The sequence below is a fragment of the Homo sapiens genome, chromosome 8 (genome assembly GCF_000001405.40).
Source record: "Homo sapiens chromosome 8, GRCh38.p14 Primary Assembly".
In the NCBI taxonomy this organism is placed as follows: Eukaryota; Metazoa; Chordata; class Mammalia; order Primates; family Hominidae; genus Homo; species Homo sapiens.
In genome coordinates this window covers 36,914,385-36,939,730 of record NC_000008.11, presented here as the reverse complement: position 1 = coordinate 36,939,730, position 25,346 = coordinate 36,914,385, and the positions used below count along the sequence as shown (strand labels likewise).

General features: G+C 41.4%; 1 protein-coding gene and 1 long non-coding RNA gene across 8 annotated transcripts in view, besides 1 other annotated feature; one reads left to right on the top strand and one right to left on the bottom strand.

The window, feature by feature from the left end:
* Positions 1–3,605: 3,605 nt before the first annotated feature.
* KCNU1 (potassium calcium-activated channel subfamily U member 1) overlaps positions 3,606–25,346 on the bottom strand; it is a 151,752-nt gene continuing 130,011 nt past the window's right edge. For 3 of the 7 annotated variants that reach the window (NM_001031836.3, XM_017013144.3, XM_011544424.3), the window contains 5 exons: positions 20,834–20,908; positions 17,102–17,241; positions 8,586–8,780; positions 6,699–6,811; positions 3,606–4,216 (listed from right to left, as the gene is read on the bottom strand). In NM_001031836.3, the coding sequence (NP_001027006.2) occupies positions 3,811–4,216; positions 6,699–6,811; positions 8,586–8,780; positions 17,102–17,241; positions 20,834–20,908 (929 nt within the window). In that variant the 3' untranslated portion in view covers positions 3,606–3,810. Of the gene's footprint in view, positions 4,217–6,698; positions 6,812–8,585; positions 8,781–16,667; positions 16,749–17,101; positions 17,242–20,833; positions 20,909–25,346 lie in introns of those variants that run through there. The other 4 variants (NR_134267.2, XM_011544426.3, XM_024447080.2 and 1 more) reach the window with 4 other exon arrangements.
* Positions 14,524–25,346, top strand: part of LOC105379375 (uncharacterized) — a 43,292-nt gene continuing 32,469 nt past the window's right edge. The window contains exons 1-2 of the long non-coding RNA XR_949672.3: positions 14,524–14,680; positions 14,889–15,019. This is a non-coding gene — a long non-coding RNA (uncharacterized LOC105379375). The remainder of the gene's footprint in view (positions 14,681–14,888; positions 15,020–25,346) is intronic.
* Positions 15,230–16,429: an enhancer, noted in NCBI's record as "MED14-independent group 3 enhancer chr8:36780820-36782019 (GRCh37/hg19 assembly coordinates)". NCBI's record gives its function as "activates an origin of replication core promoter dependent on BRD2, BRD4, P300/CBP and CDK7 cofactors, and independent of MED14, by STARR-seq in HCT116 cells {active_cell/tissue: HCT116}" and the evidence as "EXISTENCE:reporter gene assay evidence [ECO:0000049][PMID:35650434]".

Below are 25,346 nucleotides of genomic sequence, written 5' to 3'. Positions count from 1 at the left end.
TCCTACAATGTAATTTCAGCACTTTGGGAGGCTGAAGTGGGCAGATCACTTGAAGTCAGGAGTTCGAGACCACCCTGGCCAACATAGTGAAACACCGTCTATTAAAAATACAAAAATTAGCTGGGTGTGGTGGCAGGTGCCTGTAGTCTCAGATACTCAGGAGGCTGAGGCAGGAGAATCACTTGAAACTGGGAGGCAGAGGTTGCAGTGAGCCGAGATTATGACACTGCACTCCACTCCAGCCTGAGTGACAGAGCGAGATGCCATCTCAAAAAAAAAAAAAGGAACTGCTATATATATATTTAAAATTTATTATAGTTTACCTAGCATTTCTGAGTGTTTCTAGCAGAGAGAAAATCCATTTGAATTCAGTTAGTTATACTTCTGAAACCCTAAGTGCCACAGTAATCTTTGAAAAATATACAGTTGACCCTTGAACAATACAGGGGTTAGGAGCCCCAACCTGCCACACAGTCAAAAATTCACATATAAATATTGACTCCCTTCAAACTTAACTACTAATAGCCTACTCTGGACTAGAAGCCTTACCAATAACATAAACAGTTGATTAACACACATTTTTGTATGTTATATCTATTATGTACTGAATTCTTAAAATAAAGTAAGCTAAAGCAAAGAAAATATTATTAAGAAAATAATAAGGAAGAGAAAATACATTTACTACTGAGTGAGAGTGGATCATCATAAACTTCTCTTCCTTGTCATCTTCACATTGAGTAGGTTGAGGAGGTGTCATCTTCACATTGAGTAGGTTGAGGAGGAGTAAGAAGAGAAGGGATTGGTCTTGCTGTCTCAAGAGAGGATGAATAGCTGTATACCATGCAGTTCAAACTCGTGTTGCTCATGGATCAGCAGTAAATCGCATCACTCACTCCAGTATTTAAAATTGTTAAAGAGCTTCTCATCACACTTAGAATCAAATGTAATCTTTTTTGTCTATAGAGTCTTTATTAATTAGGTCCTGCCTATCTTTCCAGTCTCATCTCATGTAACGTTTCCTCTGGTTTATTCACTATGCTCTAACAATGCTAGATTTCTTTCTTATTTTCTGCCTCCTTCAACTAGAATGTATGCTTCATGGAGAAAGCAACTTTGTCTTGGTTACTGCTCTATCCTTGGCATCTAGCACAGTGCCTGATACATAGTACGAAGTGAAAAAAAATGTGTTGAATAAACGAAGATGGAAGTAATGCTCAGCATCTTCTAGTTCAACTTTATCCTTTTGCAAACAGTAAAATAAGCTGAGGAAGGTTTTAAGACCTTGCCCAATATTACAAACAAACAAACAAACAAACAAACAAACAAAAAATCTTTAATGAGATATCCAAAGCATGTACTCAGGTCTCTTGACTCCCCTCTCCTATGTTCTATCTGGTGACCACTCTGCTGATTATAAAAAGTCTGTATCAGGGATTTTGAAAGATAATAAATAGACTATAGTGTGATCCATGTCCTTCTTCCCACTTACATGAGGAATTTTGTGAAATATATGCATATGTAAATTTTTCTGGGGAGGAAGTCTGTAGCTGTCATCCAATTTTGAAAGTATTAAAGTGTCAAAAAACTTAAGAACTTCTGGTCCCCATATTGTTTGTGAACTAAATTCCTTGTATGTTTTCCCTTGTCTTCATATCAGTTCTTCTATTAACAAGAATCAAACAATTATTATGGATTAAATATCCACCATATTGCCAAAGAACTTGGTGTTTATGATTTGTATTATTAAAATGTTGTCACTTACAGGTGAAGAGTTGGGTTCTGGAGCTATAGAATCACTTGGCACATAAATTTAGGGATACTCTGCCAACTTCATTTATCAATACTGACAATATGAATGCTCATACACTGGCTGTAGTTGCAACAGATATTTCCTTAGCCAGATTTCCAGTACTCATTTCCTTAAAATACTGGATTTTGAATATCCATAGAGCCAATCCATAATTTCTTTCTCGGGAACATTTTGTCTCTACTAAACCTGCTATGTGTACAGACTGGCCAGGGGAATGGGGAAAAGGGACTAATACTGTCTTTGCAATAGGTTTTGGTGTCACTTCATCCCAGGCCATGGACCCTCCTCCCTCCCCTGAGCACAGTCCTTCATTCAGAGGCACCCTGATCCTCAGCCGTTAATAGTTGGAATGGAGTGGCCAAAGCTGAGCCCATCAAATACTTTTAAAAATTAGGATTGGGATTTAGAGACAGTCAGTTAAAGCTTTGATATGCCTAGAACTCTACCTATAAATTTGGAATTGCAGAAAGATATATCTTGCCATATATATGGAAAAGCAAAGTCTACCTGAAAAGGAGGAAGGATGAAAATGACTTTGGGAGACTTCAAAAAAAATTTTTAAATTTCCTTGGTTCCTGACAAATTTCCTTACAATCACTCTATTTTCCACATAGATTGAGTTGATTTCTTTACAACCAAAGCTTAACTGATGCAAAATTTTATTTCCTCTCGATGGATATTTTTGTGTTTCTTTAGTTTGTTTTATTTTCTTTATTAGTGTATTTCAAAGTATAATGTCTACAAGTGCTGGAGTGAAATAAACCAGGTTTGGATGTTGATTCAATCACTTACTAGCTGAATGGAATAATTTGGACATACTTATAGTAAAAATATTATTTATTCTTTTATCAGAAATTTATATTTAACTGGGCATGTTTATTTGATCTGGCAACACTATTTGTGACATAGTTTCTTGCCCTGTAAAACAGAAGCAATAAAACCAAACCAGCAAAGATATTGTTAAAAATGTCAAGGATATTATAAATGTTATGTAAACAATTTACATAACAATAAATGTTATGTAAAACAATTTAAGAGAAATGGTTAATTATTTTCTTTCTCCCTCCACCCCCCTTCTACCTTTGTTGTATTGATAATGCAAGGAGCTTGTTTACAAAGTTCATCATTGTAAGACAACCAATTGGGAGTGGATACATCCTAGATATGCTGAACTTTTGTTTACAATGTAAACAGTAACCTCTAGGTGAAATGACTTAATTGTAAGATAAAGTTTATAGAGCAGTGGATTGGTTTGCTTTGGAATATGGAATAGCGAAATGTTTCAGACCTTTTATGCAATGATATCTCTGTTCTTGAATTAGATAATTTGGAAGGTTACATACTTTAATCTATCTTATTTCACTCAGGCACCCTATCCCAGGGTACTCTAACATTCATTTTTATGAAACCTCTACTATGTTCCAGGCATATGCCCAGGTCTTATAGACAAATTGTTTTCCAATTCCAGTCACATCTCCTCATCTGGTGCTTCTCAACTCCTATAAAAAGAAATGAAATAAAAATACAATGGAATAACGAAAAATACGATGGGGAGGGAAAGAGGGAAATATATACTAGTTTACTATTTGCCTGTTCTGGGATAAAAGAAAATGTAAGATTCTTGACTGAAGGGGGTCTCTTTACTTCCTTCCTATGTCTGAGTAATTCTCATTTTTATCTTGATTACCTGTATTTCCTGACCTGGGGAATCCAGCAAGTACTGGAGGACTTCTTTAATGCAGCTCAAATTAACATGTTTTCTACTCAGGAGCAATGAACTTTCCTTACAGAAGCATTGATCATATATTTCTTTATTTATCACACAAGATCCAGTGGCATTAGACTTTTGTCTCACCCAAAACAGTGTGGCCTTCATGAACCACTAAGCAATGGGCAGAAAAATGGCATGCTTCCATTCTTATTTTCTTTGTTCAAAGTTAGCATCTCAGGAGATGATTTGTAAGCAGCAAGTTAAGAGCACGTGAAGAATATGGGCAGGTCTATAGTGGCTCTGAATATGCAAAGGGATCCTCATCATAAACCTCATCTGAAGTTTTCCTTTCATTTTCTTTTGCATTGTCACCTAAAGGTATCTGAGATGATATAATACTGTTTGTTCTACTCTGATTCCATGCTATTTGCTTAGGAAAAGAGAGGGAGTTAGTTCTCGGCTGGTAAGAATAGACTGGTGAATACAATGTCTCAGTAACTGAATCAATGGTGGGAGGACAATTTGTGTCTGAATGTGTCTCTGTTGTCTGTGATGCTTTATTTACAATTTCATATGACTTTTGCAATGAGAACTCTTCATTCCTTTTATAACAAGCAGTGCTGAAGGGTATGGCACAAAACACAAGATCTGAAGGCAGCAGCTTGAACTCATTGGCTGGCCGGGTGATCACAAACCTGTAAGACAAGTCAAAGATAAATGCTGAGGTTCTGCAGCTGGCCAGTGTGGCAACAGGCAGTGACCCAAATAAAGAGGTCATTTTGCTGGGCCCAAAGAGGAAACGTTTTTGTTTTGTTTTGCTTCATGGGTTTCTGATTAATAGTAAATAGCTATTTAGTACTTACTCCTGTAGCACAGTGCAAGAGGAGAGGTTCTAGAGTAGGAATGAGGGGGCTGGCTTTCATCCCTGCCTCTGAACCCAACCACTTCTGACTCTGGGCATGGTGTCCTCCTTCTCTGGGCCTTGCTGCGCTCATCTTTTGTTCCAGTGGGAAGAGGGGGAAGACGGTGATTTGGATTGGTTGATGTCTAATGGCCTTACTCCAGGTCTATTTGATTTTAAAAGACACTATACTCATGAATTCAGCTGGCACAATATTGACCACGTAGCCAAGCTTTGTCAACAGAAAGATGACATATATTTCAGGTATTTTCATCCTGACTTAGACCTACTCTAACCTAATGCTTATGCCACCGACTTTCCCACAGAATGTAGCCTGGCCAATGGAGAAAAGCATTAGAAAAAAACAGTTTCATTTGAAACCCTGACTGGCAAGCAAATAGTGAACGTTAATGAACCCTAAAGAATATCCAGAACTGTTAACACAGCATCAGGTACATAGCAAATGCCCAAAAATGTGAGTTGAAGTAATGAGTGCAGCAGTGCTTATGTGGGAACATTGAGGCAGGGTAGCCTTGTATGGCTTTCATCCTGCATTGCCTCACTAGTGCCTCAAATGATCAACTCTTTCCTAGCATAGATCTCAAGGCACCATTGAATTTCCTTCACTGAATAACCTACCCACTTGTATTTTTCCCACTGAGTCCTCTGTAGCCTCAATTCTATTTTTAAAAACATCAGCTGAACAAGATCACATATTCTGTTTAAAACAAAAATATCAATTTTTCCCCTGAGATCAAGTATTAATATAAGCTGTATATTTTCCCAGTTATCATGTTGCAAGAGCTGTACAGAGGTGTTTGGGGGAGGGGTGGAGTTCAGGTAGAGAGGGAGAGAGAGAGCTATTTCCAGAACATCACTCCTCCCCCATTGTCTTGGTGGTGGGTACTATAAAGCCATGGCACCTTCCTTCCCCATCCATCAGAGTCGTCTGTAGACCTCGATGCTTATTTTGCCCTTTAGCACTTGACATGCTCTTTCTTTCAAACTCTAGTGCAGCCATCTTTTTACATGCCTACAGTGTCTATGTGGTTTACAACTCCAGCATTCAGACGTATTGCTATGACTTCCAGTACCCAATGATCTTTACTTCCAAATCACTTTCCTGGCCGTGTCCTAGCTGTTTTAATTCCTAACATTGTTCCACCTCTAAAATGTTACATTTCAATAAATCACACAGCTGACTACAACTTCTCATCATACTTTCTCTCTCACTCCCTTAACTCTGAGTACATCTACTATTCAATGCATTGGGATTTCCAATCTTTCTTCTTTCACTGTATGGTCCAGGATTGCTTCACAAATCCACAGTAAGCCTCCTCTTCCACTCCTCTCAGCAGCTAATCTAAACATTGACTCCTTTCTCAACTCCTGATACTATTTCTTCCATCTTTCTCTCAGCAATGACTGTGCACTGAGAAATCCTAGTGCAAAATAAAAATTCCCATAAACACAGCCCTCACCTAGAGCTAGATCTGCCTTGGCATCTCTTCTTTTCCTCCTTTTCTCCTGTGGGCCAAAAAAATTGTTGCTGTTATTTTTCTATTCAAGACCACTCCACTTTGAGTAATTTGGCTTCCTTCTCCTTTCTCCTGGAACAAGTTCCATCCATCTATTTCCACTCTATTCCTTTCTGTTTCTTCTTCCCTTCTGAATCCTTTCCATTCCCACTGTGAGGATCTTAGTCTGGGCATACACAATTGTGTTGTCTCTAGACTGTAACCTCTCTTTCCCTTTCCCCTCCACATGCATTTCTATCTTCCTCAGGGCTGTCAGAGTGGTCTTTCTTTAAATTGAAAGCCGAACATATCACCCCCATGATTTATATGTAAAAAGCACCATGGCTAGCAAAGTAGGTCTCAATCAATATTTACCCAATGAGTCCAGCAGAAAACAAGTACATCTTTCAAATGTAGATAGTGGAATTCAGCTTTAGAAAGTTGTACAGACATGGATGAGGAGTAAGTTACAAAATTGAAACATGGAGCTGATTTAAAATCTAGCTCCGTGTTTCAATTTTCACTGGGGGACAGAGACTCCATTCTTCTTATATAGCCAATATTAATAGGACCCTAATTATTCAGGTCCCCCTTGTTTATACCAATCCCTCCTTATTCTTACATAGTTTTTTATTTCCCATGCACCCTTCCTTGCAACTGTGGACCCTGAGCTCTGGAATTCTCTTTCACATTGAATAAAGTAGCTTTGGTTCTTATGCTTGAATGGGTGGATGGTGCTTTCCAATCTAGCACACTCCCCTTTTGTTTTCTGGGTTGAGCTCCTCTTCATCAATTATTCGGTATAAGCCAACACACAGGATTCCAAAAAGATCTAATGAGCCACAGAACAGTTGTCCAAAGGTGTTTCTTGGCTGGGGAGAGAAGAGACAAAAATATGTCTGCTGGGCACTTTGATCAAGCAATTATAAGCACTCACTGGAGTGTCGTTTGCTTTATCTGGTAGTAGAAGCTTGGAAAGCCATTTCCTAATATCTTTGTGGTGGCACTGCCAGGGCGATAGGTAATTAAGAGTATGATTAGTTCTGAAACTCTAATCCCAGTGATGGTTTTTATCATTCTGGCTCTTTCAAGAGCTTCTGGTGGGTGTGGTGTGACATGTTGTTGTGCTTGTCCTTATTACCATTGCCATTCTGGTAACTACTATGAATTAACAATGAGCCACAGGTTGGAAAATGCAGCTTTTGAGATATATAATGAGTTGGGATGTTAAATGAACTCTTGAGGAGTCATCTTACCCTACTGTAAAACAGATCACAGTCCCAAATACTCATCTGGACCTTATTCTCGGGCTATAGCCAACAAGATCATTATGAATAGACAACAATTTCAAGCCCCTGCAGCAGCAAATGGGCTCAGCAAGATCAAAAGGGATCAATCCATACAGTTCTGTAATTCCTCAGGATAAAGAACAAAGGGAGGAACATGGCATAAATGGAGAGAGGAGGGAGAGGAGTGGGGACAAGTCTACCATCCTCTTTGATGCCAACAGGAAGTTGCTAGCAACAGTTTCCTGGGCTTATATACACTTACAAGTCCACCTGTAGGTGAGCAATCCGGGACTACGGAAATGCAAAGGACCAGACTACAAAGAGGGAGCTTCTGGAATGTGGTTTACACCTGAAATGCTAATGCACAGAACATGGGTCCTGCCCCTTTTGGCAGCACACATTGACATGCACCAGGTATACTGTTCTACCTGGGGGTTTTGCTAATGTCCTCTGAATCAACAAGAGATGTTTCCTTGGAACAGCCTGCCCCTAACAGTAACACTGGATAACTGAATGCAATGCCAATTAAAACCAAACCAGAAGGCACCACAATGACAAGTAGATTTCTCATTTCTTGGCTAGACCCTACTCTGATTCCCAAATGCCTGGATGCCCTGTTAGAATTTTCCAGAATTATTATCTTATCCCTTGCTGTAATCTACTGTTTACCAGCTCCCTCAGCTAAGAAAATGCAAGCATTTTCCACTGGCCAGTGCAGCCAGATTCTTAGACCCACGTACAGAAGTCTTCTGCCTGATTTCAGCTGACCTTATCAGATTTCTTTAGCATTTTAAGTATAGGGAGAGTAGGCAGGCCCAGGGTCAAACTGCTGTAGCTGGGTCCCTGCTCTGACACTGATTGACAATGTGGTCTCTGGCAAGTCCTTGCTTCTCTGAGCTCCAGTTTCTTGATCTGTTAAATAGAATTAATAATAATGCCTACCATATAAATCCATGGGCAGATTAAGTGGAAAAAATACTAAAAAAGACAAGCACAGAGAAAATACTCAATAAACATTAGCTGTTATAATTATTATGAATACTCTTGTCAAGGTACAAAGTTGCCAGGCCTCTCCGATGCTCCCTGTAGATTCAGGTTATTTATCTAGAAGATGGGGATAATAACAACTTCTTTATCTACTTCCCATAATTATTATAAAAATAAATATAACATATTAACACACTGTGATTTGTAAAATACTCTATGAATAATATAAACTTGTATTCTTTTTTTGTTATTTTTATTGTTATCATTTCTGTGCTATGGGACATCTATGAACCCAAATAGCCTGGACCATTTTCAGAAGCTCAGAGAGGTAAAGAAGTGAAAAACTGAATTCTGAGAAGAGTAGACTCACATTAACGTCTGATAAAATGGTTTCGTGTAAGGACAGAAGCCCCAGCTTACACCGGTTTCTTCCAGACAAGAGCGACGTGCAGCTATCTGCCACACCATAGACTTTATCCTTATCTAAATGTTGTTCCAGCTGAGAACTTACTCCTCCTGTCACCAGCATCTGAAGCAATTCCAGGACATGATAATTGTAGAAGGCCTGGAAAACAAGGACAAGCCACATGCAAAGTCAGAAGAGCCAATATGTGAACTGTGGAGGGGTAAAGGCTTGGAGATTTAGTGGGCATTGCTGTTTAACATGGACCTGATGGTGTAGAACAGTGTTTCTCATTATTATTATCTAATGCAGCTGAAGGATGGCAGTTTGGGTACTGTGCCAGGTTAGGCCAAGTGCAGAGAAAACAATACTGACCCAGTTCCTGTTCCTTGGAGATTACACTTCGGATGAAGAAGAAAATGGATAATGATACTGACACCAGGCATTCCCCTCTTCCCAAAATGACCAGAGGGGGTATACATGTCAGGTCACAGATACCCTAATCATCATCGATGTATATTTAAAAATACATATATTTACTGAGACGTTCTGTAGATTTTCCAGTGGGGAACTAATGATATTATTGTCATCTATACTTGAGCCTTGTGGATGTGGATTTACTTATAATCCTTTTGTTTGTGACCTACTTAGGGACATATATTGACATAGGTCTTATTAGTATTTGGATTTCCCATAGCTCTCATTATACTTTAGAAATTATAGGTGTTTAATAATTAAATGGATAGGGTTTCAGAATCTTTGACATCCAAATGAAACCAGAGGAAGATATGGCAAACTTCTTATTTTGAAATGAGCTTGAGTCTGAATAATCCCAGCCATTTTAATAAAGTCTCTTTCTCCAGGATTGCTACCACATTCATTGTGGACCAGGCATTAACATACATGGAAAGGTCATTGGAATATATTACCCACTAGGTTTTCTCAAATTTATTGAATATATATTTTTAATTTTTCATCCTTCATTTTATCTAAATTAGACTTTTGCTTTATTAAAAATGAGAATTTCTATTTTATATATTATCTAAATGCAATCATTTTGTTTTTATAATAAATATCAGGAATAACTTCAATTGTTATTCATTTGCCATTTATTTTCTCTACTTTCAAATTCAGGGATCCATCTTCTGAAATCTGGATTATCATAGGAACCTCTTTACTTCTTGTTCTGCCTTGATTTTCTTCTCATCTGCAACCCATTGTTTACAATGCTTCCACAGCAATTCCCAGAAACACAAATCAGATCGTGACCTCCACCTCCTCAACCTTTTAGTATCCTGACACGAAACCAGGCCCTCTGTCTCCACCGTGGCCTTCAAAACTTTCAGGATCTGATGCAGTCCCCCTTCCCAGGCTTGTTTCCTCCATGACCTGTCCCCTCTGGGGCACGTTAATCTATCTACAGTTGCTTAAGCGGTTCTTTTACTGCTTCATGCCTTTGCTTCTGAAACTCTGGTTCATCAGCTTTGTGACTCTTTCCTGGGTCTTCTAAGCAGAATGAAATTTCTCTTTCTTTGGGATTCCATGGGCACTGGGTTTTACTTAATTTCATTCTTCTATATTTTACAGTTTTTTACAGTTAGTTGCTTGTATGAAACACACTTGAGTTTGAATCTTGGACTGTCATATCCTAGCTGGGTGCCTTTGAGCAATTCATGGTTTTTTTTTGTTTGTTTGTTTTTTGTTCTTTTTTTTTTTTTTTTTTTTGAGACAGGGTCTCACTCTGTTTGTTGTCTAGGCTAGAGTGCAGTGGCACAATCTCGGCTCACTGCAACCTCTGCCTCCTGGATTCGAGCAATTCTCCTGCCTCAGCCTCCCAAGTAGCTGGTATTACAGTTGTGCACCACCACACCTGGGTAATTTTTTAGTATTTTTAGTAGAAACATGGTTTTGCCATGTTGGCCATGCTGATCTCAAACTCCTGACCTCAAGAGATCCACCTACCTTGGCCTCCCAAAGTGCTGGGATTACAGGCATGAGCCACTGTGTCTGGCTGATTGTTTTTTCAGCAACAGTTTTATAATCTTTAAAGTTGACATGGCAATACTTACCTTTTAGCATTGCTTGCAGGATTAAGTAAAATATACTGCACACATTGCTAAATTCTGTTTTCTTTATCATTGCTTCTCATGTATCTGGATCATCTGAAGTGATATTAATGAGTGTAGATTTCTGGGATCCCAGATCTCCTGGATCAGAATATATGGACAGGAATGGGAATCAGAATTTAAAGGGCACTCTGAGTGGTTCTGACACTGGTTGTCCTCAGATCAGACTGAGCAATACTTCCTGAAGATGATGTGCTCCTTCAGAAGATAGGCTGTGTCTGCATAAGACTCATATCCTCAGTGGTGCACTGAACAAGGCAGGTGTTTGAAGGCTGTAAGAATATTGACTTCAATGGATAGGTAATTTTTAACAAATAAATATTGCTGGTAAAATGTAGGCGTGATTGGGATAAGTTGACAAGAAATAATATAATCTATATGAATTAGAAGATAATAAAAATAACTTTTACAGTATTTTTTAGGTTAAAAGATGACTTAGCCCTAGTCCCCAGACTAAAGGAATTTCCTGAGTGATGTCTTCCTCCTTATGTTTCTTCTTTGTTACATCCCACTACCACCTGGGAGGGTGCTTATGGAATAAAGTCCCCGATATCTGGGCTGGGAGCGGGAGAGTGGAGGACATAAATCCAGGTTGAACCACAATCTGTTTAAGAACATGTGGCCATAGTGTAGAGTGATCGAACATAATGCCATTAGAATAATTCTCCACTGATTAAAGAAAAGGTGTAAATTCTAGGGTTATCCTGGTATCAATAGCTCTAGGAAAACATGTGCTTTACATATTTAACTGAGAGAGGCTTAGCTTTTGAATATATCATTTCTTCAGTTCTGGCATCATCAAAAGGATTATAATTTTATATTGAGAAAAATAATGGGATTTACATGTCACCCATGTTCTGTGAGCTCATCTCCTATTCTTACTATTTGGGGTTCTCTGCCACAGACCTTTCTCAATATCTCTTTCTTTCTATCTTCCCTTCCCTTTCCCTCCCTCCGTCCCTCCCTCCTTCCCTCCCTCCCTCCCTTCCTTCCTTCCATCTTTCTTTCCTCTCTCCCTTCGTCCTTCCCTCCCTCCCTTCCTCCCTCCCTCCCTCTAGTTCTCTCTCTCCCTCTTGTTCTCTCTCTCCATCCCTCTTGTCTTTCACAAGAAAATCTGCAAGTTGAAGGGCACTTGAAATATTTTGGACTTTCAAATTTGGTCAATGTTTCTAATATCATCTTATTTACTGGAACTTGGACTTTCAATGTTAGAAAATGTTGCTGCCCATAATGTTTTAACTTTCAGCTACCGTGAATGTTGTGGTTCCTGTCATAACCTAGAGTATTACCTAATGGTATAGATGCTAACATCCTAGCCAAATGCTGCTTTTCATTCTGAGAATTCTCAAAGACCTTAAGATCAAACATTCTTTGGGAAATACTTCTAATCTCAGAGTGAGATTATAGGGTAGGAAAACTGCAACTAACAAGCCAAGTGACCCTAAGAATGTCATGTAATTTGTGTGGGCTTGAATTTCCTTAGAAGTAAGGGAAAGTGCTCCCCAAGTTCAAATCTAGTTTTGAAAGTCTTTTGTTGCAGAACCAGATAGGAACCCTGCATATGGGCCTGGCTGCCCCACCATATTTGAATGTTTACAGCATTGAACTGAGAGAGGATTAAAGGCAAATCTGAATTATATCCTATAGGAATATTTCTTCAGCTGGGTCAGGAGTTTAGGGTAGTATACCAGGAACACTTGAAGCCATTTTAATGTCAACTGTATCAGAAGGTTTGGAGGGAAAAACCTATTATTCTACATTGAAAAAACCAGCACAGGTCTAACAAGGGATAGAATTTTTAAAATTGCCTGAAAATTTAAACAAAACCTTAGTATTTCTAAGCAGTGACAAGTTCACAGCACATGACTGTGGGCTTTGTTGCCTTCTTGGGATTCGCACATTTATTCTTGGTGTTTATTAGGGGCGGTGGAGAGAGAAAGGTGGAAGAGCACTATGGAGGTGTCTGAGTATACATGGGAAGGAAGAGGGCCCTTAATATCCAGTTGAAAATATAGTTCACTGGGATTGAAGTAATGGCTGGTGTTCTCATCTTGTTTCAGAAACTGCTGAAGCATTAGCAGATACATTCAGGGAGCCTGTCCTGAATGCATCTGCTCTTAGCCTTGACCTTCTGTATAGTGTGGGTATCAAGGAACCCAACGTTTAGAGTCTAATTGTAACCTCTGTAACCTCTTATGTTGCAGTGGGACGCAGATCTCTCAGTGCATTAAGCTGGGCTGCAGGTTGGAAGTGTCAAACCCAGAAGACAGTCTTTGTGGAGGGATATTATGGATAAAAGGGACATGCAAAATTGGGCAAAATGACTGACTCCTGCCTCCCGCACCAGACTTCTGGCTGGAAATTGGAAAACTGTCTCAGAATAGAGAAGAATAGGATTCTGTTTATGTTATGCCTCTCTGTTGGTCCTTCATCCTAACTTCAAGGGAATGAGTTCCAAAATCCTCTTAACAACAGACGTCTCTTGTGCAATTGAATCTTATGCAGGCGCCTCTAATATACCACAGATGAAAGTGGAATTGCTCTGATGGAGGGGAGAGATGTGGGTGGGCAAGGCAGGGTGGGCACATCTCCTTCTTTCTGCACAGAACATTGTCAGGGAAGGAGCCCTCTAAAATAAACTTGAAAATCCCTGTGTTGCAAGAACACTGATCATTACAGAAATAGATTTCTGGAGGGGCAGTTGATTGCGGCAGCGAGGAATGACTCTAGGATCACATACACTTGGATCTGAAAACCAACTTGTTACTGGTAAATGATGCAGCCTTTGGCAGATTATTTACCCAGCTAAGCTTCCGTATTTGACAGGATAATTAAACCAGGTAATGGAGGTAATGCACTTAGTGAATTCCTTGGCTCTGGGTAAATGCTTGTGAGATGTTACTCTTCTTAAGATCAATAGCTATGATTCTTGATATTATCTCAACAAGAAAACTCATCTAAATAAATTGCCTAGAGATCTATGTAGGAAAAGGTATGATCTGGGGGACGAGAACTGTGGTCATCAGCAATGTCTGCCTTGGGGGTCTGTAGGGGTCATAGCTCCAGGACCCACAACTGCCTTTCTAAGTTAATGGGGAGATCGAGGTCATTGCCTTCCTACCAACCCTCAGCCAGGAGATGCTCCAGCACATACGGAGAATAAATGAAGTGTTTGAGAACGTATTCAGGAGCTGCGGTAGTGACTCTAGATGTTGTTATTGGAAGGTGGTAAATGTTCTCTTCCTCTCCGAGGGTATTTCCATGTGACCAGGTGGTAAGATCCAGAGTCCACCCAAAATCAAATGGTCCCCGGAATAAAGGAGACAATGAGATTGGAGGCTCAGTCTTGATCCTTGGGTCTTTCTTTGGTGATGGGAAGCCACCCCCACACTGATAAGGGCACATAGAACCAGTAGAATCAGGTGCAGGGAGAAGGGAAACGAGAAGGAAAACAAAAATTATCAGCATTCACAATTATTTCCAATGGCCCAGTTCAGCTCATCATTAAATAGTGTTACAGTGTGTTCATTTTGCTGTGGCGTACAACATTAAAGATTCATGAGCTGGGGCAGAAAACTGCTAGGTAGAGATTTAGAGGTTCAAGATTCAGTCAGCACCCTTGACATAGAAGACGCTTTCTTCCCTGATGCTCCATTGCCGTCCCTGCCCAAATTCAGTTGAGCAAATGCCAGTCCTAAAATAAGTACTTATCAAGAGTTCTGAAGGCGAAGCTGATGATCCACTGTGTGTTGTGATCTCATGCAATGACCTCACTTTTAGGTCACACTATGTGGCCTTTATTCTCTATATAGCACATTTTGTTTTCCAGCAAGAATCTTCCTCTTCCACCAAGTGAAGCCCATTGACCCAATATCTGAAGGCAGCCTGGGAAGAACCTGCACTCTTTAGACCACCCAAGGCCAATGTCATGATCAGGTGCTGAGTGGTGGGAGGAATCAGGCTCATGACCAAATCTGTGTTCCTCATACTGGCTTGTGATTGTGTGTTCATTCGTTGTTGTCCTTACTCTTCCAGCCCTTCCCTGTCCATCCTGCCCTTCTGATCAACTCTAAATAAAATCTGTGGCTCTATTCCTGCCTGTGTGAGCCAGTGGTGTTTAATTGAGTCTCAATTTTAATTTAAGGCATGAAGCTGCCTGACATCTAAGGATCTCTGAAGAGAACTGGGACCTGAAACCCATCTGAAATGTATCTGCAGACAGGTCAAGTTCATCGAGAGTCACCTCCTGCCTGACACTCCAGTCATTAATTCCAGGTGAGTTAATTGACATATCAGTGACAGACAGTGATATAACACTTTCTCTGACAGAGCCACCTTCTCAGAAAAGTAACCTGACTTGACTTCCTCTAGTACCTCCCTAGCTCAGTGAAGGCTGAGCTGCTTAACTCTTTAGGAGCCTTGCACTTTACCAATTTGTTTAATGTTAAACTACCACTGAAGTGGTATTCTCTCTCTAAGAGCTTGATGGGGTGTATGAGACCCCTACCACGGCTTAAAGAGGCAGAGCCCAGGGCAACACAATCTCATGCCGAATGGCATTGATGTCAGGGAGGGAGTGGATATGCCCAGCCGTGCTCCCTTAAACTTGCAAACTGTGCCTTGAAGCATTCCTGAAATTCAGGCATGATGCCTCTCACTGTGGACCTCCAGGAGGCAGCAAGTTCATCAACTGTGCTCAGATTCTTCTGCATTTAAGCATCTGCATATTGACATCCAGCCATTTTGCAGCTCTTCCCTTGAAAATCCCGGGTAGGAGGAGTGTGGGAGGCAGTGGGTTATGTGGCTTTCCTTTGGAAGAGTTTTTGCAAGTCATTCACAAATGGCTACACACTGATCTCATGAGTCTCAGTCAATTTGAAATTCCTTTAACACCCTGGGGTGTACTCTGTAGAAAGCAGAAAAGTTCCTCTTCAAAGCTCATCTTGGTTTAAAAATAAAATAATAGACACCAGGAATAATAGCTCCTTACTCTAAAGCCTCCTGTCAACTATTAGTTCTTACACTTTTGCCCAGTTATTTGCTTTGGCTTACTCAGGCATGCCTGGACAGACCCAGGCAAGTCTTAACTCATAGCTTATGCACCTTCTTTATGTGGAAATGTTATTGCTTCCTTAAACCTTTCGTAAGCAACCTCCTCTCCTTCTTCATTCTTTCTTGCACTTACCTATTTAGAAAAGTTTTAGGTTATTAGCAAATTGGGTATAAGTTTAAGACTGTGAGTTCCAGCTCCAGCCAATGGATGCAGGACCCAGCAGTAAGGATGACCCAAATGCATAAGGGATAAATATGTCTGCTTTTCCTTTGTTCAAGTGTGCTCTTGCCATTGTTCCATCTGCCACTGAACACCCTTTCTGCAGAAAGTAAAGATTGCCTTGCTGAGAGGTCTTTTGTCTCCATGCTGACTTTTCTTCGCAGCACCAATTATCTATTTCTAACAACTCCCACCTCACTGCTTCTGAATGCTGTGTTCTCTCCTCTCCCCCAGAGCTGGGGTCACATGCTGCCTTCTCAACATCGCCTTCCCTGAGAAGGCAATGTTATTGAATCTTGCAATTCCTTCCCCAAATTTCACATTTCCTATCTCACATCTCCTTAGCCCTTTAATTGGCATCCCTCTGTGTTACTTATTTATCATGCACATGTCAATCCCCTCCACTCAGCAGGCCCCATGTGGATAAGGCTTTTGTCATTCTCACACTGCAGATTCCCCAGCACCCCAACAGTGCCCTGTGCAGAGTAGGTGTTCAGTGGGCATTTGTACAATGAATTAATTCCACCCAGGGGAATCCTAATGGATGGAAAAGGTCTGCCAGGTGGCTAAAGAGGTGCTGAAAACTAAAGAATAACCATGTAGTCAAGAATGCCCCCCATGAGAGGAGGAACATGGAGGGAGATTTGACTTAGCTCTGAGCAAAACTCACCAGCAAAGGCCAGAGCTTCTTCCTTGAAACTGGGATCCCTTTATGGCCAATTTCCACATGAGCTGTTTGGAGGATTTCAGAGAGAAGGGAAAGTGGTATCTCCTGAGCTCTGATGCCAAGGGACCTGGTCTGCAGCGATGCCTTAGAAGCTGAGAGGCCGACACTCACTCTTCCTGGCATCAGGGGTTCTGGCTGCAAGGGCCTCAAGTTTTTAATCTTGAAAATGTGAAAATGTTGCTTCCCACACCAAGTAGTTATGAGAAAAGATAAATTAATGTATGGGAACAAGCTTGTTTTTGAAAATCAAAGAGAACTTAGAACTGTGAGGTGTTATCATCTACTCAGCCTTATACTACCTGTTCACTTCTCTGCAGAGGGCTTGGTTTTGGGGGCTCCATGGCTTAGCTTTTCTTACCGTGGCCAGCAGAGAATCCAAGAAGCTGCCGGAAAAAACAGTGCCCGTAGAAAAGGCAGTGCTGAGATGCAGATTTGTTTCTTGGAGGGACCCTTCCAGTCCACCAAGCTGTTCAATAAAGTGAATGTTGGAAGGATTTTCTGCAAGGCAAGAGGCAAAAAGGAAAGACAAGCAGATCAGGTTAAGAATATAAGAAGTGCCATCCATGCAGGCCAAGGGGCGACCACTTGATCAAAAGATCTGATGTCTACTTTGGGGTCTCTGTGGGATCAACCCCTTTTTCAGTACATTTTTTTTTTCTTTCCTTTCCAAATATCTTCCTTCCCACAAAGTACATAGTTCTATTGGGTACATTCACCATCAAGGGGACATTGCTGGAGCACAGGCTCAGTTTCTCAAGAAGTGTTCTGATTGTCATCCTTGTATAATTTATCTTTCAAACCAGGATATTTTGGGGGAGCAAAAGGGAGCATGCTCGAAAATTGCCCTGGAATCATAGGAATAAATAGGAACACATGGTCACCCCAGTTAAAGTCTTTTATTTCTCAAAATACTATGAGATAGATGACTTGGTATTTACTTGGGTTCCTAGAGTCACTTAAGCCCAGTGCCTTTCAAAATGTAATGCACATATGAATCATTTGGGGATTTGGTTGCAATGCAGATTCTGATTCACTGGATCTAGGGTGAGGGCTGAGAGTCTACGTGCCCAGCCAGTTCCCAGATGCTGCTGAGGTTGCCGATTCATGGATGGCACTCTGTGTGGCAAGGGCTTAGGGAATCATCCTAACTGAGGCCAGTACAGCAGTAGCCAAATTATCCATCAGCATGTCTATACTGGCCCCAGGCTCCAACTCAGACCCTGGTAGGCAGCCTCTGAGGTGAATACCGCTGGTCACTGTGGTCCGTGAGAAGAGATGCACAGGCTGCCTTTGTTCCTAGACTCTTCTTTTTTTTTTTTTTTTTTTTTCCTCACTTCATCGCCCAGGCTGCCCAGTGGTGCAGTCACTGCAACCTCTGCCTTCTGGGTTCAAGCAATTCTCATGCCTCAGCCTCCCAAGTAGCTGGAATTACAGGCATGTACCACCATGTCCGGCTAATTTTTGTATTTTTAGTAGAGATAGGGCTTCACCATGTTGGCCAGGCTGGTCTCAAACTCTTGACTTCAAATGATCCACCCGCCTCAGCCTCCCAAAGTTTGTTTCTAGAATCTTCTTTCAAGAACGTTTGTCTTAAGAACAGCATTGGAAGATAGAGATGGTGTCTCCCATAGGAGCAAAGGGAAGGCATGCTTACTGCCTGTTTTAAAAGACTCTGGTTTCCTGAGCTCAGGTTCCTATCCTAAAGAGCAATCCACTGTGGGTACAGGTGTCACTTGGCCCTCTTCATGTCACCTGGTGGAAAGCAGGGCTTGAGCAACCAACACAAAAATGAGGATACTGTGGCTGCTGTTATTGCTCTGAGTAATAAACTGATTGGTTTTGTTTTGTTTTGTTTTGGTCTCTGATCCAGGAGTCTTATATCTTCTGCCAGCATCCATGAGACTGGGGTAGGTGCACTTGTTGGTTTGCAAATAGGATAGCCTTAGACTCTCCACAGTTCTTGACATTACAGTTCTTGAAATGACCAATCCAAACAAATCTGCTGGACAAGCAACTCAGAATCCATTGCTTGCTATGACTGGATTATCCCCTAATGCCTTAAATTATTCCTCAGTATGTTTAGGGGAAGTGACATTAATGAATGAAGTGATATTAATGAATCATTTTCTTCTGAGAACAGCTTTATTTTCATAAAAGATGAGCAAGGTATGACTAATATCAATCCACATCTCCTGTGCACTTCTACATTTCTCTCCCTGCATTGTGAGCCCTCCACACACACACATGCGCACGTGCGCGCACGCACACACACACACAAATATCCCATGAGCCTTTGTCCAAATTCTGCTGTATCATCCTAAACTAGTGGCCTCAGCTTTCCTGGCCATTTCCTTCAGATCCCCATCCATTCTGTACCAAAGTGGTACAGACCTGCAACTCCCACATCAACATGACCCTTTCCAGCCAGCCAGACAACAAGAACCTGGACAAGCTGGCAGGTAGGTTGTTAGGCTAACTTGACAAGGGCTACATGGTGCCAGAAACAAAGACTGTAAGTCCCTGGAGAGTGATCAGATGCACCTCTGGGTCAGTGAGAAACTGGCTGATTTCTTCGCAACCACTCTAACTTACACTCTTCTTTGAATTAATTCGTTTGGTGTATACAGTTGGCCCTCCATTTCCACATGTTTTGCATTCAAGAATTCAACTAATTGAATTCTTGAATGGAAACCCATGGATACTGAGGGTTGACAGTACTACACCATTTTATATAAAGGACTTGAGCATCATGGATTTTGGTGTCTGCAGGAAGTAGAGCCAGGGGAGGAGTGGAGAGTGAGTGAGTTATGGAACCAATGCCTCACAGATACAGAGAACCAACTGTGTACAGCTCAGGAGTTAGAGATGGTTCAAAGGGGAGGAAAAAAGTAAAATATAATTAAAAACTGCAGCAGACAGCTTCAAGGTGGTTCCAAATAGGCAGGCAGGTACTAGGATCCAGGGGTCTAGGATCTTCAGAGCTGAACTTCAACAGCCTCTGCTCCACAAAATGGTCAGGAAAGCTAGGTAGCAATGAGGCAGTGCCTCACCTCTCACCTGCTACACTGTCACTCCCAGCTCAAGTGGCAGTGACACCTACTGATTCCTCTCTAAGTTCCCCTGCTTTGTTTGCAGGACTAAGATTTCTAGATGTTCACCTAATTTGGGATAAATCCCAGTGGTTTTGGTAATCTTGCTCATAAAATGCCCATTATGCATTTTTCTGGTTAGTAAAATCAGGTCAAGTCACAGCCAGGACCAGTTTTTAGAGATCATCTCTGAATTGGTTCAATCTGCGCTAGTGGCACCGTTCTCCTCTTGCCTGGGATTTTCTCCTTTTCCCTTCGACTATACTCAGTATAGTTGAATACAGACGCAATGCGTCCCCTGGTGCCCCAGCAATGCACCCCACCAAAGGCACTTGGGCACCCTTCCTTGCCTTCCCTCCCTTGTCTTCTGTTCCCACAGCTCCTCGTGCCTAGGGAAGTTTTGTACAGGTGTTGGTGACAGATAACAGCATATTCTGTTAATTCTTCGAGAGTTTTTTTTTTTTTTTTTTGCCTATTTTAGGAAAGTATCACTCAGGGCTTGGATTAAGGTGACGGGGGGAAATACATGGGACACAAAATTTGGAGACACCAAGGGTGAGCACCTCCTCTAAGTCTGTACCCCACATGCCTCTCCTGCCTTACCCTGGCCCCAGCCCTGGTGTCACTGCTGGAAAGGAAGGCATCTGACCCGAAGTCCTGTGATGGGTTTGACTAGTCAGTACAGGGAGATTCTTTCTAGCAGTCTTCATATCGATGGCCCCTCCCTCTGAATAAGACTAAGCTAGTTGCTGGTCCCCCTCCCTCTGCTGGTAACTAAAAGAGTGGAGAAGGCAGATGTCATTTCTGAACCCTGACACCAGATATACCGATGTCCCCAGTTGGATCAAAGCCCAGTGTAACATCCGGGCAAGCACTTAAAGCTCTGAGCCCCATTCTGGTTCCTGAGTCCTGTGATTGTGCATTCTAAAAAGATCCTTGGAACATAAATTATATATCACAAAAATTTCTCCATTGAATTTTCCCCTCGAAACACCACTTACTCAGTTCAGTAAGGATAGGGACTTTTCGGCAGTTTGATTTCTCATTATGTCCATTTGTGTAACCTGGAGTCTCCTCTGCAAAGAAGAAAAGAGGTGATAAATGCAAACACAATGCCTTACAAAACTTGTCAAAAATGTAGAAGAATATAATGTAACTTGGTGCTTTATCTTAGCAAAGTTACTTTCATGTATAAATCCCAAATCCTTTACTATGTTTAGACAAAAAATTGTTATGTGGGTCTCCTCAGCATCTCCTTTAGATAAATGTGGGGAGGGGAGTGTGTATGTGTGTGTGTGTGGTGGGGGGGTCTTTCTTCTTTTCTTTTTTCTTTTTTCCTTTTTTGAAACAGGGTCTTGCTCCATCACCGAGATTGGAGTACAGTGGTGCCATCAGAGCTCACTGCAGGCTCCAACTCCTGAGCTCAAGTGATCCTGCTGCCTCAGCCTCCTGAGTAGCTAGGACTTCTGGCACATGCCTCCATACCCAGCTAATTTATTTTTTTTTTTATTTTTATCTTTGCAGAGATGGGGTCTTGCTATGTTGCCCAGGCTGCTTGCAAACTCCCAGCCTCAAGTAATCCTCCTTTCTTTGCTTCCTGAAGTGCTGGGATTACAGCTATGAGCCATCGTGCCTGGCTATGTCTATTCTTTCTCAATGGCACTTCAAATGACTTACAAAAAAGGCAAAGCTCTCCCAGTAGTTGCTTATTGATGTCACAATTAAGATATGCTTACTCTCCACTGAGTGGCTGTGCTAGGTAACAATTCAGTCAGGCAGTAGCTCAAACCACATCAATTTGCCTGTAGTATTTTTCGGAAACTGCAAATATATGGGTGGTGCTGTCCCCATGAGTGCTTTAGGACACATTGCAAGTGGCTGCTGGCTCCAGGTATTCTCTGCCTCTTTGAGCTCCTCACTGGGCTGAGGCACTGCTGTTGTCTCTGCAGAACTGGCTGCCTGCCTGTCTCCATATGGAAGGCTGTGGGGTTTCTTAAAGCCTGAGCTGGGATGTCACTCAGAGAGCCCTTGACCTCTGTGCTCAGGTTGTAGACACATTTCCCTCCTGTCTTCGGAGATAAGGCACTGCAGTAACCTCTGTGAGACTCGACCCCAAAACAGGGCATGCACAGCACTGGCCTGATACAGCTTTATCATGTGGTGAGTTTCAAAAAGAAGTATGACATCAGAGGTTTAGTCTCCAACTTAAACTAAAAATGTAAGAGGAAAGAAATGGAATAGAAGGTTGGGTGCAGTGGCTCACACCTATAATCTCAACACTTTGGGAGGCTGACATGTGAGGACTGCTTGAGTCTAGGAGTTCAGGACAATCCTGGGCAACATAGAGAGACCTGTTCTCTACAAAAATTAAAAAAAAAAAATTAGCTGGGTGTAGCAGTGCAGAGCTGAAATCCCAGCTACCTAGGAGGCTGAGGTGAGAGGGTCGCTTGAGCCCAGGAGTTCAGAGCTTACGGTGAGCCGCCATCACGCTATTGCACTCCAACTTGGGTGACAGACCGAGATCCTAGCTTAAAAAAAAAAAAAGAAGTTGGTGGGGAAAATGGGAAAATAGGGTGCCATGAAAAAGAAAAAGAAAAACACACCATAATGGCATTGTAAGTTGTGCTTACAACTGTTGTTTACTTTCTTAAAGTTTTCTGAGGATGTAAGAGGAAAAAAATATTGTAAACCTTCAAGATCTACTTGTAATTAAGATTCCCTGCTGCTTAGAAGAGAGTGAAATCTTTGGAAGGTCCTTTGCTCCCTGAGTGGGGTAATTGGTAGGGCTGAAAAGTGGAATGAATGCAGTTGAGCTCTGTGCTAAGGCCCCCTGAAAAACAGACAATGGGAAGATGACAGGGAATGGAGCCACTGAGGTGGAGACCAGGAAGGAAAAGGGGAAATCCAAAGAGAGGTTTGTTTCCAGAGGGAATGCTATGTACTACAATATTTCACACCTTTTCCACCTCACTACTGAGATGGAAAAGAGCCACTTCTTGTTAATGCAGAGTAGAGCTGAATATATTTCTGATTTCTACTAAATTTCTGAGTAATGAATGTAGGATAAAAACTGAAGCTCCTCATGAAGAACCCAAGATATTTGGTTTATGTCTAGAACCATCAGTGACCTCCAGAATTTCGCAAAATTTTTCAGTTTTTGGTGAGGAAATGGAAGCTCAGAGGGCTAACTGGATTCGCACAGCTATTAAAGAGGAAGGTTTACACAGATGGCTAGAGATCATAATTCACTGATAATTCTTACTCTTGATGGGATCTAAATACCTTAAATTGTTTTTCCTTAAAAATATCTCTGAAATTTCCATAATGCAGGAAGACTTGGGGGAATTAAAGTTCTATTTTATTCTCAGATTAAGATGCCTTATCTGTTTCATGTGTCCTCTTTCCCTCCTTTTCTTCTCCCTTCTCTTCTATTCCCTTCCCTCCTTTCGTTCCCTTTTTCCTTTCTAATTTCTTTCCTTTCCTCTTTCCTTCCTTTCTTTCTCCCCTTCCTCATTTCCTCCCTGTCTTCCTTCCTTCCTTCCTTCTTTTCTTCCTTTCCTTTCCCTTCCCTTTCCTTCCCTTCCCTCACCCCTTTCCTTTCTTTCTTCCTTTTGTTTCCTTCCTTCCTTCCTTTCCTTCCTTTGTTTCTTCCTTCCTTCCTTTCTTTGCCTTCCCTTTCCTTCCCTTCCCTCTCCCCTTTCCTTCCTTCCTTCCTTCTTTCCTACCTTCTTTCCTTTCCCCTCCCTTCTTTTCCCTTCCTTTCCCTTCCCTCCCACCTTTCCTTCCTTCCTTCCTTCCCTTCTTCTCCTCCTGTTCTTTTTTCTCTCGTCCCTTTCCCTCTTCTCCCTTCCTTTTTCCCTTCTTCCTTTCCTTCATTCTTTTCTCTTTTTCCATTCTTTCTTTTCTTCCTTCCTTTTTTCCTTCTTCCCTTTTCTTCCTTCCTCCTCTTTTCCTCCTCCCTCCCTTTCTTCCTTTTTAAATATTTTAAAATATCTACTCCATGATAGAACTATGTACAGTCCTCGCCCCAGTTACATACCACATGTTGCAAATACAAAATATTTTCAGATATTGATGAGTTTGAGAAAACCCCAAACTTTAGAGGATAGTCATTGAGTTTGGAGACATGACTTTAGATAAGGTCCCAAAGGGGGGCTTCTCTGACATTGAGACAGAATCTGAGGAAAAAGGAAAAGTCATCCTGGCAGAAGGGTTGTGATAAAGAACCCATGGTGGGAAATAGCCAGTGTGAACAGGGTGAAGGAGGGGAGAATCCAAGTTCCTTGCTGGCTTGCAAGATCCTAGATTTTCCTTTAATTGCCATGAGTCAACATTGTAGAATTTAAAGTAAGGAAATGAGATTATCCGATGAATATGTGTAAAAGAGCTCTGGCTGCTGTAAGCAATGGACACTGTAAAGAGATAAGAATTATATAATTGTTACATGTACTCTGTGAGTTACCCATAGTGAGATCATCTTTGATGATGAGAAAACTGCAGCCAGGATTTACATACCATGCCCAAGATCACAAGGCTTGTAAATAATGGAAGTGGCTTCACAGCCTGATCAGCACCAACTTCAAAGCCCATACCCTTTTCAGGGTACCTACTTAAGTTGTAGCCCTATTACAATATACAAGGTTTGACTGGAATTTTCAATAACATATTGAAATCAGTTTTCTTCAAAGGGGAAACCTCTCTATGGGTAAATCCCCCTTTGAACCCCACTTTCTGATTCCAGTTCTTTGCTAATAAAGGACTTGAAATATCCTGACTTTTAGAATCTAGTGTTCTAATCGGGTACAGACACAATCACATCAGCTGAAGCAGCTGTATGAAAATCTGCTTCTGATGCCGGCTGAAGGACAGCATCTGAATTTCCACCTTAACTCCATCTCCTTTTCGAGCAATGGTTAATTTGAATGTGTCAGATCATAGCCTGGGTACATTTTACTAATGTCAATATTTTTGTTACCTAATAGTACACAGTATTATACCTGAAATCTTCCAGCCTGGCAGGGTGCTATTACAAAAGATTGCTTAATTGTAGATTACTTCGGTACATTTAAATTTCAGTAGCATATTAAGTTGTCAGGCTTAATTACTGTTATATGTTTAGATTATGCCACAGATTATTTAGTTCAGTACCTAGGTTTGCCAACCTGTTCTCCTTGTGATGTGACAGGGCAGTAATTAGAGTATTACAGAAAAACCTAAAATTTCCCATGGAGATGTCCAGGAGGCCTGGCATTCTCACTGATTCTTCAGAGATTCCTCACTCTGCTGCTCCCCCAAAACCCCCCGCCTCATCCAATTTCCGTTGGTGAATTTCTGCAGTGAATAGCCTTGATGGTCCTAGCTTGGCTTCGCATTTATGTTTATCATTACTACAAAGATGTGGAAAAGCCCACTGATCCCTCAAAGGCCTCACCAGATAGGTTAGGGCGGAGTTTCTCCACCTTGGTACTGCTGACATTTTCTAATTGTGTGAGGCCGTCCTGTGTATTGAAAGAC